Consider the following 20,707-nt stretch of genomic DNA (forward strand, 5'->3'; position numbering starts at 1 on the left):
ACTGTGTGGAAGATCCTGAGTAGATATTTGCTTGGAGGTGTTGGAGATAGGAGTTGTCCACAGATGGTATCCTATCTGGTTAATTGATAGAAGTCTCCTCCTTTCTGCAGAACAGTATGACCCAGAATTGGAGGACAGTAGCCTTTGCTCCTGTGTTTCTCTTCCTGGGCTGGTCTTCCATATTTGGAGTGGGATTTATAGTTTACAGTGAAGTTAGGAGATGGTCCTGTCTGATACAGTTTGGCTGTGTCCCCATTCAAATCTCATCTTGAATTGTAGTTCCCATAATCCCCATGTGTAGTGGGAGGGACCTGGTTGGAGGTAATTGAATCTTGGGGGCGGGTTTTTGCCATGCTGTTCTTGTGATAGTAAATAAGCCTCAAGAGATCTGATGGTTTTATAAAGAGCAGTTCCTCTGCACACGCTCTCTTGCGTGCAGCCATGTAAGACGTGTCTTTGCTCCTCCTTCACCTTCCACCATGATTGTGGAGCCTCCCCTGCCACGTGGAACTGTGAGTCCATTAAACCTCTCTTTCTTTATAAATTACCCAGTCGTGGGTATATCTTTATTAGCAGTGTGAGAATGGACTAATACACTGTCCTGGATAGAGTTGAGTTTGGCCAGTTGATGGAACTATGTAGTGGGAGACTCCACATCCCTAAATAAAGGCCATGGAGACTCAGCCAACTTCATGCAGACATACTCCTCAGTCCTTCAGCTGGTAGAAGGAATTGCAACATACAGGCTGCTGGAACCTACTTCCTGCACCAGACCTAAGGAGTACGGAACTCCTCCAAGAAGATGGGAGGTTAGCAGGAGGAAAGACACGTATCTTTCCCTCAAACAGTCCCCAAAGCAGAATTTATGGGAAAGTCTTGCCTTAAAGATCAGCCAGTGGACATTTTTTAGATAATATAGTGACAAGTCAGTGATTTCCATGAATCATTTTGTGTTGCTATTTCTCTTTTTGCAAAATGGAGATAACAGTGGGACCCACCCCATCCAGTTTGGATTTGTGTCCCTTCTAAATCTCATGTTGAAATGTAATCCCCAATGTTGGAGGTATGGCCTGGTGAGAGGTGTTTGGGTCATGGGGGCAGATGGTCCCTTATGGTTTGGTGCTGTCCTTGCAATAGTGAGTTGCAAGATCTGGTTGTTTGAAAATGTGTGGCACCTCCCCTGACCCTCTTTTGTTCCTGCTTTCACCATAAGCCGTGCCTGCTCCCCCTTCACCTTCTGCCATGAATAAAAGCTCCCTGGGGCCTCCCCAGAATCTGAGCAAATGCCAGCACCAGGCTTCCCATCAAGTCTGCAGAACCATGAGCCAATTAAACCTCTTTTCTTAGAAATTACCTAGTTTCAGATATTTATTTATAGCAATAATGGCCTAATACAATGCCACATAGGTAGCTGTGAAGATTAACTGAGTTAACATGTGTAAAACACTTAGAGTAATGGCCTAACATACTGAGCACAGAATGAATATTCAATTTAGCAAATATTTACTTAAAATCTTCCACACAGTAGCATCAGGGTTAAAAGCAGATATCAAGAACAAACAAGGGGCCGGGCACGGTGGCTCACACCTGTAATCCCAGCACTTCGGGAGGCTGAAGCGAGTGGATCATGAGATCAGGATAACGAGACCATCATGATGGGGTCATGAAACCCTGTCTCTACAAAAAATACAAAAAGTTATCTGGGCATGGTGGCAGGTGCCCGTAGTCCCAGCTATTTGGGAGGCTGAGGCAGGAGAATGGCTTGAACCCAGGAGGTGGAGCTTGCAGTGAGCCAAGATCGCGCCACTGCACTCCAGCCTGGGCGACAGAGCGAGATTCCATCTCAAAACAACAACAACAACAACAACAAACAAACAAACGAACAAAAAAAAATAACAAACAAGGTTTCAGCCAGGCATGGTGGCTCATGCCTGTAATCCCAGCACTTTGGGAGACTGAGACGGGTGGATCACTTGAGCTCAGCAGCTTAAGACCAGCCTGGCCAACATGGTGAAACCCCGTCTCTACTAAAAATGCAAAAATGAGTTGGGTGTGGTGGTGTGCACCTGTAATCCCAGCTACCTGGGACGCTGAGGCAGGAGAATCGCTTGGACCCAGGAGGTGGAGGCTGCAGTGAGCTGAGATCATGCCACTGCACTCCAGCCTGGGCAACAGAGCGAGACTCCATCTTAAAAAAGAATAAAGAATAGACAAGGAGGCCAGGCACGGTGGCTCTCGCCTGTGGTCCCAGCACTTTGGGAGGCTGAGACAGGTGGATCACGAGGTTAGGAGATCGAGACCATCCTGGCTAACACGGTGAAACCCCATCTCTACTAGAAATACAAAAAAATTAGCCAGGCGTGGTGGCGGGCACCTGTAGTCCCAGCTACTCGGGAGGCTGAGGCAGGAGAATGACATGAACCTGGGAGGCGGAGCTTGCAGTGAGCCGAGATAGCGCCACTGCACTCCAGCCTGGGCGACAGAGCAAGACTCCGTCTCAAAAAAAAAAAAAAAAAAAAAAAAGAACACACAAGGTTTCTTGTCTTCTGGAGTTTTGAGATCAACCTAAAAATGTTTATCTGTTTATTCAGCAAATGTGCTTTGGTGTTTCTTCTACTCTGGACCTAAGGCCTCATTCTTCATGAAAAGACTCTCTTAACTAGAGGCCAGTATCTTAGGTCCACTCTGTTCTGGGCTGTAAGACATCCAGGGTCTTCCCCTCACTTTTTCCTGCATTTTCCTTTCCTTGACTGTTCTGGGTCATGGTAGATCAGTGACTCTCATCCATGGGCAACTTTGCCCCAAGGGGGACACTGACAATGTCTGGAGACTTCTTTGGTATCCATGACTTGACACTGGGGAGGTAAAAGGGGATTGCTAATGGGTTGAGGCCACATATGCTGCTAAATGTCCTACAGTGTACAGTTTTATAATTTTATAATGTATCATTTTATTATTTAACAGAGACAGGGTCTTCCTATGGTGCCCAGGCTGGTCTCAAACTCCTGGGCTCAAGTGATACTCCTGCTTTAGCCTTCCAAAGTGCTGGGATTAAAGGTGCACCTGGCCAATGTCTTACAATATACAGAACAGCATGCCCCATGGAGAATTATCTGTCAACAGTTCCCAGGTTGAGGAACTCTGTGATAGAATAACAGTTTCTGGACCAGTAATTAAGGGAAAGATAGAGGGTAGTTAGCTACTCCTTAAGGCTCATAAGATGATACTCTTCTGGTCCCATCTAGTTATACCCAGGCCACCAGGCCCAGGGGTTCCATAGAGTGGTTGGAAGCTAAGACCTTATTGCACTAAATAGAACCTTTTTTTTCTCTCCCAATAGCAATCAATTTGTACCTCACCTTTACTCACCTGCCAGAGAAGAATGTATCCAGACAGAGCTTCCAAGGGTTCAGGATCCAGCCAATAGATTTTCTCATTTTTCTTTTAATGAGCTTTCCCAGTTTGAAAGAACCTGCCAATAGATGTGCCTCTTGGAACAAATTGAATAGTCAAGAAACACACTAGCCAATGTAAACAAAAAATAAAACTCTAAGCACCCCATCCATCTAAATGAACCCCTCCTTTTGGCCAAGGACATTCCAAAGTTAACTTGAAAAACTAGTCCAGGCCATGATGAAAAGTGGGAGTCAAACATGACTCATTATCCCTCCTCCCTTTGGAATTCATTATACCCTTCTCTCATTGGAAAATATCTTCAATATTCCTGCTAACATCACAGTGGGTGTACACCCTGTGATATTACGCAGAATACATCTCTGATATTCCTGCTAATATCACAGTGTATGTACCCCCTGTGATATTATGCAGGATATATCTTCAATATTCCTGCTAATATCACAATGGGTGTACATCCTGTGATATTTAGCAGAATATATTTTTGATATTTCTGCTAATATCACAGTGGGTGTACACCCTGTGATATTATGCAAACTGTATCTTCGATTTTCCTGCTAATATCACAGTGGGTTTACACCCTGTGATATTACACAGAATATATCTTCGATATTCCTGCTAATATCACAGTGGGTGTATACAGTGTGTGTGCACCCTATGATATTATGCAGAATATATCTTTGATATTCATGCTAACGTCAGCTTGGGTGTACACCCCGTGACATTATCCAGAATATATCTTCAATATTCCTGCCAGTATTACAGTGGATGTACACCCTGCGATGTTATGCAGAATGTATCTTTGATATTCCTGCTAATATGACAATGGGTGTACACCCTGTGTGTGAACTCGGTGATATTATACAGAATGTATCTTCGATATTCCTGCTAATATCACAGTTTGTGTAAACCCTGTGATGTTATGTAGAATATATCTTCGATATTCCTGCTAATATCACAGTGGATGTACACCCTCTGTGTACACCTTGTGATATTATGCAGAATATATCTTCGATACTCCTACTAATATTATAGGGGGTGCACACCCTGTGATATAATGCAGAATACACCTTTGATATTCCTGCTAACATCACAGTGGGTGCACAGCCTGTGATATTATGCAGAATACATCTCCAATATTCCTGCGAATATTACAGTGGATGTACACCCTGTGATATTATGCAGAATATGTCTTTGATATTTCTGCTAACATCACAGTGGATGTACACCCTGTGACATTATGCAGAATACATCTCTGATATTCCTGCTAACATCACAGTGGGTGTACACCCTCTGATATTATGCAGAATATATTTCTGATATTCCTGCTAATATTACAGTGGATGTACACCCTTTGATATTATGCAGAATATATCTTTGATATTCCTCCTAATGGAACTGTGGATGTACACCCTGTGTGTATACTGGGTGATATTATGCAGAATATATTTTTGATATTCTTGCTAATATCATCCATATTCCTGCTAATATGGATGTATCATATCTGTAATATGCAGAATGTATCATCCATATTCCTTCTAATATCACAGTGGGTGTACACCCTGTGATACTATGCAGAATACATCTCTCACATTCCTGCTAATATTGCAGTGGGTGTACAGCCTGTGGTATTATTCAGAATATATCTTCAATATTCCTGCTGATGTCACAGTGGATGTACACTCCATGATTTTATGCAGAATATATCTTTGATATTTCTGCTAATGTCACAGTGGGTGTACACCAGGTGGTATTATGCCGAATATACCTTCAATATTCCTGCTAATATCACTGTGGTTGTACACTCTGTGATATTATGCAGAATATATGTTTGATACTCCTGTTAATATCACGTTGGTTGTACACACCCGGTGTGTAAAGAATATATCTTCAATATTCCTGCTAATATCACAGTGGATGTACACCCTCTGTGTACACCTTGTGATATTATGCAGAATATAGATTCGATATTACTGCTAATATCACAGTGTTTGTACACCCACTGTGATATTATGCAGAAAATTGATATTCCTGCTAATATCATAGTGGTTGCACACCCTATGATATTATGCAGAATATATCTTTGACATTCCTGCTCATATCACAGTGGGTGTACACACTGCAATATTATTCAGAATATCTTTGATATTCCTTCTAATACCACAGTTGGTGTAAACCCTGTGTGTACACCCTGTGATATTATTCACAATATTCTGGAGAGATATTTTTGCTAACATCACACAATCTGTACACACAAGGTGTACACCCACTGATATTAGTCAGAATATCTTGGATAGATACTCCTGCTAATATCACAGTGGGTGTTCACCCTGTGTGTAAACCCGGTGATATTATTCAGAATATCTTGCATTGATACTCCTGCTAATAACACAGTGACTGTCCACCCTGTGTGTACACCCAGTGATATCAGTCAGAATATCTTGGATAGATACTCCTGCTAATATCACAGTGGGTGTCCATGTGTGTACACCTGGTGATATTAGTCAGAATATCTTGGATAGATACTCCTGCTAATATCACAGTGGGTGTACACACAGAGTGTGTGATATTTGTCAGAATATACTGAATAGATACTTTTGCTAATATCACAGTGGGTGTACACCCTGTGTGTACACCCCCGGTGATATTATTCAGAGTATCTTGGATAGATACTTCTGCTAATATCACCGGGGGTGTACACCTTGTGTGTACCCTCAATGATATTAGCCAAAATATCTTGGATAGATACTCCTGCTAATATCACAGCGATTGTACACCCTGTGTGTACACCTGTGATATTATTCAGCATATCTTTGATATTCCTAATATCACCGTGAGATAATTGATAAACACCCGAGCAATATTTCTTTCATTCATATCACAGTGAGTAAACACTCTGTTTAAATACTGTGAGATGACGGATGAACATCCAAGTGATATTTCTTTCATTCATATCACAGTGAGTAAACACTCTGTGTAAATACTGTGAGATGATTGATAAACATCCAAGCGATACTTCTTTCATTCATATCACAGTGAGTAAACATTCTGTGTAAACACCATGAGATGACTGATAAACATCCAAGCGAATTCCTTTCATTCATCTCACAGTTCGTAAACAGTCCGTGTTAACACTGTGAGATGATATGACTATTGGAGCGATATTTCATTAGTATCACAGTGTGTAAACACTGTGATATGATATGAATATCAGAAGGATATTTTTATCATATCACAGTATATAAACACTGTGATATGATGAATATCCGAGTGATGTTTCATTAATATCACAGTGTGTACCCACTCTCTGTACACACTATGATATGATGAATATCAGAGCGATATTTCTTTAATATTACAGTGTTGTAAACACTGTGATATGATGAATATTGGAGCGATATTTCATTCACACTGTGTGTACACACTATGATACTTCACTAATATCAGTGTGTACACACTGTGATATGATGATTATCAGACCGATATTTTGAGTCTGTGTACACTCTGTGTACATGCTGTGATATGAATGAAATATCGCTATGATATTCATCATATCACAGCGTGTACACAGAGGATGAATATCAGAGCTACAGTTCATTAATTACTATCACAGTGTGTACACACTCTGTGTAACCAGTGTGAAATGACGAATATCAGAGTGATACTTCATTACTATCACAATGTGTACATACTGTGATATGACAAATATCAGAGCAATATTTCATTAATGTCACAGTGTATACACACTGTGATATGTACACACAAATACACACGGTACACACTGTGATATGATAAACATCAGAGCAATATTTTATTAATATCACCGTGTGTAAACTCTCTGTAAACACTGTGATATGATAAATATCAGAGCGATATTTCATTAATATCACAGTTTGTAAACTCTCTGTGTAAGCACTGTGATGATTACTATCATCAGACAGATATTGATATTTCATTAATGTCACAGTGTGTAAACACTGTGATATGATAACTATCATCAGAGCGATATTTCATTAATATCACAGTGTGTAAACACCGGATATTATAAATATCTGAGTGATATCTCATTAATATCACATTATGTAAATACTGTGTGTAAACTCTGGCTATTATAATTATCAGAGCGATATTTCATTAATATCACAGTGTGTCAACACTGTGTGTAAACCCTGGATATTATAAATATCAGAGTGATATTCCATTAATATCATGGGACATATCTCAGAATAATAAGAGCTATCTATGACAAACCCACAGCCAATATCATACTGAATGGGCAAAAACTGGAAGCATTCCCTTTGAAAACTGGCACAAGACAGGGATGCCCTCTCTCACCACTCCTATTCAACATAGTGTTGGAAGTTCTGGCCAGGGCAATTAGGCAGGAGAAGGAAATAAAGGGTATTCAATTAGGAAAAGAGGAAGTCAAATTGTCCCTCTTTGCAGATGACATGATTGTATATCTAGAAAACCCTATTGTCTCAGCCCAAAATCTCCTTAAGCTGATAAGCAACTTCAGCAAAGTCTCAGGATACAAAATCAATGTACAAAAATCACAAGCATTCTTATACACCAATAGCAGACAAACAGACAGCCAAATCATGAGTGAACTCCCATTCACAACTGCTTCAAAGAGAATAAAATACCTAGGAATCCAACTTACAAGGGATGTGAAGGACCTCTTCAAGGAGAACTACAAACCACTGCTCAATGAAATAAAAGAAGATACAAACAAATGGAAGAACATTCCATTATCATGGGTAGGAAGAATCAATATCATGAAAATGGCCATACTGCCCAAGGTAATTTATAGATTCAGTGCCATCCCCATCAAGCTACCAATGACTTTCTTCACAGAATTGGAAAAAACTACTTTAAAGTTCATATGGAGCCAAAAAAGAGCCCGCATCGCCAAGTCAATCCTAAGCCAAAAGAACAAAGCTGGATGCATCACGCTACCTGACTTCAAACTATACTACAAGGCTACAGTAACCAAAACAGCATGGTACTGGTACCAAAACAGAGATATAGATCAATGGAACAGAACAGAGCCCTCAGAAATAACGCCGCGTATCTACAACTATCTGATCTTTCACAAACCTGAGAAAAACAAGCAATGGGGAAAGGATTCCCTATTTAATAAATGGTGCTGGGAAAACTGGCTAGCCATATGTAGAAAGCTGAAACTGGATCCCTTCCTTACACCTTATACAAAAATTAATTCAAGATGGATTAAAGACTTAAACGTTAGACCTAAAACCATAAAAGCCCTAGAAGAAAACCTAGGCATTACCATTCAGGACATAGGCATGGGCAAGGACTTCATGTCTAAAACACCAAAAGCAATGGCAACCAAAGCCAAAATTGACAAATGGGATCTAATTAAACTAAAGAGCTTCTGCACAGCAAAAGAAACTACCATCAGAGTGAACAGGCAACCTACACAATGGGAGAAAATTTTCTCAACCTACTCATCTGACAAAGGGCTAATATCCAGAATCTACAATGAACTCAAACAAATTTACAAGAAAAAAACAAACAACCCCATCAAAAAGTGGGCAAAGGACATGAACAGACACTTCTCAAAAGAAGACATTTATGCAGCCAAAAAACACATGAAAAAATGCTCATCATCACTGGCCATCAGAGAAATGCAAATCAAAACCACAATGAGATACCATCTCACACCAGTTAGAATGGCAATGATTAAAAAGTCAGGAAACAACAGGTGCTGGAAAGGATGTGGAGAAATAGGAACACTTTCACACTGTTGGTGGGGCTGTAAACTAGTTCAACCCTTGTGGAAGTCAGTGTGGCAATTCCTCAGGGATCTAGAACTAGAAATACCATTTGACCCAGCCATCCCATTACTGGGTATATACCCAAAGGACTATAAATCATGCTGCTATAAAGACACATGCACATGTATGTTTATTGTGGCACTACTCACAACAGCAAAGACTTGGAACCAACCCAAATGTCCAACAATGATAGACTGGATTAAGAAAATGTGGCACATATACACCATGGAATACTATGCAGCCATAAAAAATGATGAGTTCATGTCCTTTGTAGGGACATGGATGAAATTGGAAATCATCATTCTCAGTAAACTATCGCAAGAACAAAAAACCAAACACTGCATATTCTCACTCACAGGTGGGAATTGAACAATGAGAACGCATGGACACATGAAGGGGAACATCACACTCTGGGGACTGTTGTGGGGTGGGGGAGGGGGGAGGGATAGCTTTAGGAGATATACCTAATGCTAAATGACGAGTTAATGGGTGCAGCACACCAGCATGGCACATGTATACATATGTAACTAACCTGCACATTGTGCACATGTACCCTAAAACTTAAAGTATAATAATAATAAAATAAAATAAATAAATAAATAAAAACTTCAGAGAAAAAATAAATAAAAATAAATCATTCTACCATGAAGACACATGAATGTGTATGCTCATCACAACACTATTCACAATAGCAAAACATGGAATCTACCTAGATGCCCTTCAATGGTGGACTGGATAAAGAATATGTCACACACACACACACACACACACACACACACACAAACAATGGAATACTATGCAGCCATAAAAAAGAATGAAATCATGTTCTTTGCAGCAACATGGATGAAGCTGGAGACCATTATCCTGAGGGAAATAATGGAGGAACAGAAAACCAAATACTGCATGTTCTCACTTACAAGTGGCAGCTAAACTCTGAATACAAATGAATGCAAAGAAGTTAACACCAGAGACTACTAGAGGGTGGAGGGTGGGATGAGAGTGAGTATTGAAAAACTACCTGTTGGGTATTATGCTCATTACCTGGGTGACAAAATAATGGCAAGCCCCTGTGACACACTATTCACCCATGTAACAAATCTGCATGTGTACTCTATGAATATAAAATAAAAATTGGAAAGAAAAGAGCAAATTAGGAATAGAAGAGAACTTCCTAAACTGAAAAACAGTATTTAATAATATCCTACATAAAATTATCATAATGGCAAAACATTAAGTGCTTTTTTCCTGAGATTCACAATGAGACAAGAATTTCTGCTATTTCCACTTGTTTGTTTTTTTTGCAACATCATACTAGTCATAAAATTTTGCAATGAGGAAAAAATGAGAACAAAATTCATGAGGTTTGGATAGGAAGAAGTAAAACTCTCAGGGTTTGCCAAAAAGATAATTGTGTGCATTTAAAATTCAAAATAATTTGTAGACAATTTAAAATTAATAAATGATTTAGCAATATCACTGGACATAAGGTCATTATAGAAAAATTATTTAAATTTATATCTCAACTGATATGGTTTGGATCTCTGTCCCCACTGAGGTTGGAGGTGGGCCTGGTGGGAGGTGATTGGATCATGGGGGTAGAGTTCTCATGAATGGTTTAGTGCCAGCCTCTCGGTGCTAGTCTTATGGAAGTGAGTGAATTATCATGAGATCTGGTTGTTTTAAAAGTGTGTAGCATCTCTCCCACCTCCTATCTTGGTCCTGCTCCTGTCATGTAAGACGTCTGCTCCCACTTTACCTTGTGTTATGAGTGAAAGCTCCCTAAGGCCACCCCAGAAGCAGATGCTGCCATGTGCTCTGTACAGCCTGCAGAACCATGAGCCAATTAAACCTCTTTTCTTCATAAAAAAAAAAACTTTTTTTAACCAATACATTAAAAAAAAAAACTTTGTGTAAACCCTGGATATTATAAATATTAGAGCAATATTCCATCAATATCACAGTGTGTAAACACTGTGCATAAGTACTGGATATTATAAATATCAGAGCAATATTTCATTAATATTGCGGTGTGTAAACAGTGCGTGTAATTACAAATATCAGAACAATATGTCATCAATATCACAGTGTGTAAACACTGGATATTATAAATGTCAGAACGATATATCACCAATATCATAGTGTGAAAACACTGTGCATAATTAAAAATATCAGAGTGATATGTCATCAATATCACAGTGTGTAAACACTGCATGTAATTACAAATATCAGAGCGATATGTCACAAATATCACAGTGTGTAAACACTGCACGTAATTACAAATATCAGCAATATGTCATCAATATCACAGCGTGTAAACACTGCGTAATTACAAATATCAGAGTGATATATTGTCAATATCACAGTGTGTAAACACTGCATGTAATTACAAATATCAGAGCAATATGTCATCAATATCACAGTGTGTAAACATTGTGCGTAATTACAAATATCAGAGCGATATGTCGTGAATATCACAGTGTGTTAACAATGCACGCAATTACAAATATCATAGCGACATGTCAACAATATCACAGCCTGTAAACACTGTGTGTAATTACAAATATCAGAGCAATATGTCATCAACATCACAGTGTGTAAACACTGCACATAATGACAAATATCATAGCGATATGTCGCCAATATCACAGTGTGTAAACACTGGATATTATAAATATCAGAACGATATATCACCAATATCACAGTGTGTAAACACTGTGCTTAATTACAAATATCAGAGCGATATATCAACAGTGTGAAAACACTGTGCATAATTAAAAATATCAGAGCGATATGTCATCAGTATCACAGTGTGTAAACACTGCGCGTAATTACAAATTTCAGAGCGATATGTCACCAATATCACAGTGTGTAAACACTGAGCGTAATTACAAATATCAGAGCGATATGTCATCAGTATCACAGTGTGTAAACACTGCACATAATTACAAATATCAGCGATATGTTGTCAATATCACAGCGCGTAAACACTGTGCGTAATTACAAATATCAGAGTGATATATTGTCAATATCACAGTGTGTAAACACTGCGTGTAATTACAAATATCAGAGTGATATGTCATCAGTATCACAGTGTGTAAACACTGCACATAATTACAAATATCAGAGCGATATGTCATCAATATCAGTGTGTAAACATTGTGCGTAATTACAAATATCAGAGCGATATGTCATCAGTATCACAGTGTGTAAACACTGCGCGTAATTACAAACATCAGAGCGATATGTCATCAATATCACAGTGTGTAAACACTGCACATAATTACAAACATCAGAGCGATATTTCATCAATATCACAGTGTGTAAACATTGCACATAATTACAAATATCAGAGCGATATGTCGTCAATATCACAGTGTGTAAACATTGTGTATAATTACAAATATCAGAGCGATATGTCGTCAGTATCACAGTGTGTAAACACTGCATGTAATTACAAATATGAGAGCGATATGTCATCAATATCACAGTGTGTAAACACTGCACATAATTACAAATATCAGAGCGATATGTCATCAATATCACAGTGTGTAAACATTGTGTATAATTACAAATATCAGAGCGATATGTCGTCAGTATCACAGTGTGTAAACACTGCATGTAATTACAAATATCAGAGCAATATGACATCGGTATCACAGTGTGTAAACATTGTGTGTAATTACAAATATCAGAGCGACATGTCATCAGTACCAGTGTGTAAACACTGCACGTAATTACAAATATCACAGTGATATGTCACCAATATCACAGTGTGTAAATACTGCACGTAATTATAAATATCAGAGCGATATGTCGTCAGTATCACAGTGTGTAAACACTGCACATAATTACAAATATCAGAGCGATATGTCACCAATATCACAGTGTGTAAACATTGCGTGTAATTACAAACATCAGAACGATATATTGTCAATATCACAGTGTGTAAACACTGCGTGTGATTACAAATATCAGAGTGATATATTGACAGTATCACAGTGTGTAAACACTGCATGTAATTACAAATATCAGAGCGATATACCGTCAATATCACAGTGTGTAAACACTGTGCATAATTACAAATTTCAGAGCGAGGGAGCGATGTATCACCAATATCACCGTGTGTAAACACTACATGTAATTACAAATATCAGAGCGATATGTCATCAATATCACAACGTGTAAACACTGAGTATTATAAATATCAGAGTGATATTTCATTAATATCACAGTGTGTTTTCACTGGATATTAGAATATCAGGGTGATATTTTATTAATTTTTTTCATTAAATTTTTTAAGTGATGTAAAGAATTTAGGGAATTTATCACCTCCCATAGATATTCGGGTGCTAATTAATAGTAAGAACCTGAACTTTTAGATCAGACTGCCTGGGTTCAAATTCCAGTTGTACTATGTGTGACCTGGGTCAAGTTGCTGAACCTCTCTTCTCTTCATTTCCTAATCTGTGTAATGAGAATGATATGATTAATATCTACCCCATGTGGCTATTATGACCAGTATGAGAATTAAATGAGCTCAGAAACTGCCTAGACTATTTGGCTCAACTGTTGGATTTTACTGGATACGTACTTAGAAAGCAACAATGGGGGTACTCCAAGTTGCTCACCATGACACATCGCTCCTCATTATTTTTCTATTGTTGTAGCACCTCTTTCCTTCTAATATACTGTAGAATTGAATTATTTATTACATCTATAATTCTTTGCCTGCATTCATCACTCCAAGAGTACGGGGCTCTTTGTTTTGTTCACGGACATATGCCAAGCAGTTTATCAGAGTCTGGCACATAGTAGGTACTAAACAAATATTTGGTACTGAATAAATTTGCTGTCATAATTTCCTTGACATTCGTAGAAACTTCAACTCTTAAGACTGCCAGAAATTTTAAAGGACAGCACATTCATTCAATAACCTCGTGTCAAAGACGTATTCTGTGACTGGTGTACAAGGCACCTGGTATACAAAATGACTAATGCACTATTTGTGATCAAGAAGCAAACCAAGCTCAAAAATGAAGCATTTCAATACAATAAACAGTAATAGATTTAAGAACAAAATGAGGATTGAAAAGGAGAGAGTGTAAATCTCTCCAGGAGAGTCAGAGACGACTGAGTTGGGATAAGAGGTGTTCCCCAGGCAGAGAGTGCAGGGTACAGACAAACAGAGCAACAGCATGAAGCAGAACCAGGAAAGAACACAGTGTGTCTGGGAGACATAGAGCAGTGTAGGGTGCTCGTGATGGGGAAGATTTATTACCGTGATTATTGGCTGAGATGTCCTCAGTTCTGCAAGGACCATGTTTGTGATTATAGGCGTTAACAAAGATTGGTTTGGTTTGGTTTCAATCAGGCATGACTAAATACTGAGAAATGGGATATCAGTGAGGCGCTGGGACCATGCAAACAGAGGCCAGACTGTCAGCAGCAGGTACGCCAAGATCAGAACTCAAAAAATACAAAGAAATAAGAGTCAGAGGAAATCCTGGGCAAGATATCAAGGCGATGACAATGGCTCTCTTCTGTGTGGGGGTCCAAAAAAATATAAAAGTGTTTTATGAAAGAAAAAAGAAAATGCTTATGGGTCTGTCAGAACAACCAGACTGGCCAAAGCTGGGATAACTTCAGAAGAAAAGCAGAGGAGCCTTGGGCCAGAGGAGAGCCTAGCTAAGTAGCCCCACAAGAGCAATCGCATTGAGGAGGATTTCCTGTTAATCCAGCACCACCCCCACTGTTATGGCTGGATATTATCATAACCTTGTTTTATATTTTTTAATACTTACATCACCTAGTTATCTAAGTATAACTCATTTCCACAATGTGAATACAATTTTTCTCAATAAATCATTTTGACATCTCTGAATCTCAGGTTAAACAGTCTCTCCTATTATTAAAAAGAGGAGCCTGAACCAAGTGAACTTATCATTGCAGTCACCATCTTAGTGTCCAGAGAGAGCAAACCAGCAAACTTCAACTATCCCTGACTAAGCGTAGTACCAACCCCTTCAAAGGCCCGGCAATGCACTGAAAGCCAGGTGAGCCTGCTGACGACACAGTAACAAGAAGGCCAGAGTTTATTGAATCACAGAATAATTCAATGGTAGGCTAGCACTGGGCTTTAATGAGCATCGCGTCCAGCCTTCTCACTCTGGGACCTTATGATGTTCGTTACCCGGCTAACTAGTAACTCTTACTACGCTGCCACGTTGTCTCGAGCAAGACAAGGCAGTTGTTTTAGTGAGTTCAGGAAAATAAAAAAAATTTCAAAAACTTCAAACTTCAAACCAGTTACTTTGTATACAAAATAATGAGTTGGTTGATTAATTTTTCCATCTTTATAATTGCTCTTCTTGGCACAGAATGAATCTATAATATGATCATTTTCATAGGAAAATGGAATGGATCATATTAAAAATCATGTTTATATATATCCTTGATGATCTTTATGCCAAGTTTCTTAAAGGCAGAGCATTTCAACAAACACACCAATGAGAATATTTTCAGGTTTACAATTGCAAAATGGTGTATGTAGTTTGCAATTATTTCCTATTCTTCTAAAACTAGTAAAAGTTGTATAACGCAGATAGTAGCATACAGGGCCAAGCACAATATCTTGTAAAGGGCCGAATAGTAACTATTTTCTGGTTTTCAGCCCATATGGTCTCTACAGCAACTGCTCAACTCAGCCATCACAGCACAAAACCAACCGTGGACAGTATGTCAGCGAAGAGGCTGTGTTCCAATAAAACTTTATTTACAAAAACAGGCAGCAATTGGATTGTTTGCCAACTCCTAATCTAGATCATGTGTCATGTTTTTCTGTCTTAACAGTATATATATATATATATATATATATATATATATATATATATATATATATATATATATATATATATATATATATATTTTTTTTTTTTTTTTTTTGAGTCAGAATCTCGCTCTGTCTCCCAGGCTGGAGTGCAGTGGCGCGATCTCAGCTCACTGCAAGCTCCGCCTTCTGAGTTCACGCCATTCTCCTACAGGCACCCGCCATCAAGCCCGGCTAATTTTTTTGTCTTTTTAGTAGAGACGGGGTTTCACCGTGTTAGCCAGGATGGTCGCAATCTCCTGACCTTGTGATCCGCCCGCCTCGGCCTCCCAAAGTGCTGGGATTACAGACGTGAGCCACCTCGCCCGGCCTGTCTTAACAATATTATCTTAAAGTGAATTTTATATCAGGACGTTAGAGAGGTCTCATTTTTAAAGGAATATATAGTAAGATACTATATGGATGTATCATGATTTATTTAGCCAATCCTATAATGATGGATATTTTGGTTGTTTTCCAGTTTTTTGCTATTATAAATATTTGCTACAGTGAATTACATTTTACATATTTCTGTGTTCACATGTATGAATATATATGTTTTTTTTTTTTCAGAGATGGGGTCTTGGCAGGGCACGGTGGCTTGTACGTGTAATCCCAACACTTTGGGAGGCCAAAGTGTGCGGATTGCTTGAGTCCAGGAGTTCCAGACCAGCCTGGCCAACATGGTGAAACACTGTCTCTACTAAAAATACAAAAATAAGTTGGGCATGGTGGCTCGCACCTGTAGTCCCAGCTACTCAGGAGGCTGAGGTGGGAGGATTTCTAGAGCCTGGGAGGCAGAGATTGCAGGGAGCCAAGATCTTTGCCACTGCACTCCAGCCTAGGTGACAGAGGGAAACCCCATCACAAAAAAACGAAAAAAGAGATGGGGTCTCCTTCTGTCACCCAGGCTGAAGTGCAGTGATGCAATCACAACTCACTCCATCCTTGAACCCCTGGACTCAAGTGATCCTCCCACCTCAGTCTCCCAAATATTGGACCATGCAATAGCCACTAGCCACACATGGATATTGAGCACTTCAAATTTAGATAGTACTCAACAGGCACCACCATGCAGGGCTTTTTTTTTTTTTTTTTTCCTGTAGGGACAAGGTCGCACTATGTTACCCAGGCTGGTCTCAAACTTCTGGCCTCAAGCGATCCTCCCACCTCAGCCTCCTAAAGTCTTAGGATTATAGGCATGAGCCAGCCAAATATGCATGTTGAATAAATTCATAAAATTGCAAGCATACAAGTTTCATCAATATTGCCAAATTTCCCTCCAATTTTCATACCCCTCCAACAATGTATGAGAAAAAATGTTCTAGTTTCACATAGCACTATGTTGGTATAGAAGGAAATTTGAGATCCAACTTTATTATTTTACAGTTCCACATACGAGTGCTCAGTTGTCCCAAGATAATTTATTAATTATATTGTCTTCACCCACTAATTTAAAACGTTATCTTATTAAAGGCTTCTACCTTTTATAGCAGCCAAGAAAAATGTTCCCTATTGACATATTTAATAAAGAATTTAAAATCTGAATGTCAGGTTGGGGGCGGTGGCTCACGCTTGTAATCCCAGGACTTTGGGAGGCCAAGGCGGGCGGATCACGAGGTCAGGAGTTCGAGACCAGTCTGGCCAACAGAGTGAAACCCTGTCTCTACTAAAAATGCAAAAAATTAGCTGGGCATGGTGGCATGCACCTGTAATCCCAGCTACTCGGGAGGCTGAGGCAGGAGAATCACGTGAACCTGGGAGGTGGAGGTTGCCGTGAGCCGAGATCGCGCCATTGCACTCCAGCCTGGGGGACAGTGTGAGACTTTGTCTCAAAAAAAAAAAAAAATCTGAATGTCATTTTCACCAAAGCTACCTTTCTTACTCCCCTACTCAAATCTAGGAGTGAGCAATTTTATTTTGAAGTTGTATTATATCAAGCTATATAAGGGATATGGAAATCAATTTAGATAAACATATTATCCATGATCTAATTTTGAAAACATCACAACTAGCTGTTGATACCATAAGCGTGAGAAGCAAGTAGTTACATGTGTATGTTTTTATTAAAGTACTACTATGTTGTCCCATCCATCTCCAAAATTCTGCAGTTCTATGTAAAGATTTGTACCCACAACCCTGAGATTATGTCAAAGTCAGTTGGAGAGAAGAAACCCTTCTCTGGGTCATTTGCCCTATGGCAGCTGATATTGAATAATGCAAAGCACAAAGATGACGGATTATCAAGGGTCATTCTGTATCTGCACTGTCCATTATACATACTGAATATTGGACCATGCAGTAACCAGTAGCCACATGCAGATACTGAGCACTTGAAATTTGGATAGTCGAAATTGAAATGGGCTGTAAAATACACACCAAATTCATAAGACAGTATGAAAAAATAATATAAAATATCTCAATAATTTCATATTGTTTACATTTTGAAATGCTAAAATTTTTGATATATTTATTAGATAAAATGTATTATCAAAATTAATTTGACTCTTTTTTTGTAATATGACTACTAAAAAATTTATAACCACAATCATGGTTATGTTATAGTTCTATCAGACAGAGCTATTGTTTTTTTTCTTTTCAACTTTTATTTTAGGTTCAGCAGGTACATGTGCAGGTTTGTTACATGGGTAAATTGTGTGTAACAGAGGTTTTGGGTACAGATAATCTTTTATTTTAGGTTCAGCAGGTACATGTGCAGGTTTGTTACTTGGGTAAATTGTGTGTAACAGAGGTTTGGGGTACAGATAATTTTGTCATCCAGGTAATCAGCATAGTACCCAATAGCTGGTTTTCCATCCTCACCCTCCTCCTATCCTCCATCCCCAGATAGGCCCTGGTGTCTATTGTCCCTTTCTTTGTGTCCATGTTTAGCTCCCACTTAAAAGCGAGAACATGCAGCATTTGGTTTTTTGTTTCTGATGAATTTGCTTAGGATAATGACCTCCACCACCATCGATGTTGCTGCAAAAGACATTATTTCATTTGTTTTTATGGCTGTGTAATATTCTGTGGTGTATATGTACCACAGTTTCTTTATCCAGTCCACCACTGATGGGCATCTAGGTTGATTCCATGTCTTTGCTATTGTGAATAGTGCTGCGATGAATATTCATGTGCATGTGTCTTTATGGCAGAATGATTTCTATTCCTTTGGGTATACACCCAGTAATGGGACTGCTGAGTCAAATGGTAGTTCCATTTTAAGTTCTCTGAGAAATTTCCAGACTGCTTTCCACAGTGGCTGAGCTAATTTACATTCCCACCAGCAGAGTATAAGTGTTCCCTTTCTCCACAAACTTGCCAGCATCTCAGACAGAGCTATTTTACATGATTCACACCAACAGAAATTGGAACTTCAGTATATGGCTTAGAGGATTAGCTGTGACTTCCTAAAAGTTCTTAAACCTTCCTAAAAGTTCAGCATGGATAGTGGAAATCACAATGCACTAGGAGGAAAGAGTATTATTCACTCCGCAAATACAGATTGAGTACCAATTATTGCCAGAAAGAGGCTTGGCATTGAATCAGGGTTATAGAGTCCTAGATGACCACATACCCTTGACCTGGTTGAGGCATTAAATTTCTCTAAGCCTCAAGGCATCATCTGTAAAATTGGCTTCTGCTCAAAGAAAAGGAATTGGAATGGATGCACTCCTGAAATTGTTTTCTACATTAAGATCTATGATTCTGTACATATTTCAATTTCATAATCAAGGTCTCTAACTGAATATAAAACTACATTAGAAAAGCTTATATCGTAAACTTACATACCACATTTGTACATATAATTTACTATGAGCATTTTCTCTCAGCATGTAAATATATTTGCTTAGTGTTTAAAACATTTAAAGCAATAAGATTCTGTCATCAATGGTAAGCTAAAAAGAGAGATACAATTAAATAATCTACATGCCATATTTTGACATCAGTTTTATTTGGGGGCACATAGACTTTTATTTTCATTCATTTATTTAATGCTTAGTTAATGAGCATAAGGCAAAGTGTCATGTAGGATAAAACATCTATAAATGTGGTCCCTATTCATGAATGATTTATTTCTGTGAAGCTTCCCCAACATCCCTGACTAGAGTTACTCCTGAGGGTAGATTTAGTTACTTCACTGTCCATGCTTCCATTACAGCACTCAACAATGCTATTGTCATTTTTCTGTTACATTTTTGCTTCATCTCTAGGCTATAAACTCATTAGCAAAGGAATTCTCTTATTCATCTTTCAACCTAGAACTTCCTATGTATCTGCCATGTAGGACAAGCTCATTAGAGACTTGACATAAGACTATTACAATCACCAATAAGAACTATTGGCCAGGACCAGGCATAGTGGCTCACCCCTGTAATCCCAGCACTTTGGGAGGCCGAGGCAGGAGGATCACTTGAAGCCAGGAGTTTGGGACCAGCCTGGCCAACATGGTGAAATCCCATCTCTACTAAAAAGATACAAAAATTAGCAGGGTGGGGTGGCACATGCTTGTAATCCCAGCTACTTGGGCGGCTGAGGCAGGAGGATTGCTTGAACCCAGGAGGTGGAGGTTGCAGTGAGCCAAGATCCCACCACTGCACTGCAGCCTAGGCAACAGAGCAAGACT

At 38.9% G+C, this 20,707-nt stretch overlaps 1 long non-coding RNA gene across 1 annotated transcript in view; it reads right to left on the reverse strand.

Moving 5' to 3' along the window:
- The window catches only part of CIBAR1-DT (CIBAR1 divergent transcript), a 353,967-nt gene that overhangs the window by 313,510 nt on the left and 19,750 nt on the right, over positions 1 to 20,707 (reverse strand). Inside the window, exon 4 of the long non-coding RNA NR_033858.1 lies at positions 3,370 to 3,472. This is a non-coding gene — a long non-coding RNA (CIBAR1 divergent transcript). The remainder of the gene's footprint in view (positions 1 to 3,369; positions 3,473 to 20,707) is intronic.

This window comes from Homo sapiens, chromosome 8, assembly GCF_000001405.40.
Source record: "Homo sapiens chromosome 8, GRCh38.p14 Primary Assembly".
In the NCBI taxonomy this organism is placed as follows: Eukaryota; Metazoa; Chordata; class Mammalia; order Primates; family Hominidae; genus Homo; species Homo sapiens.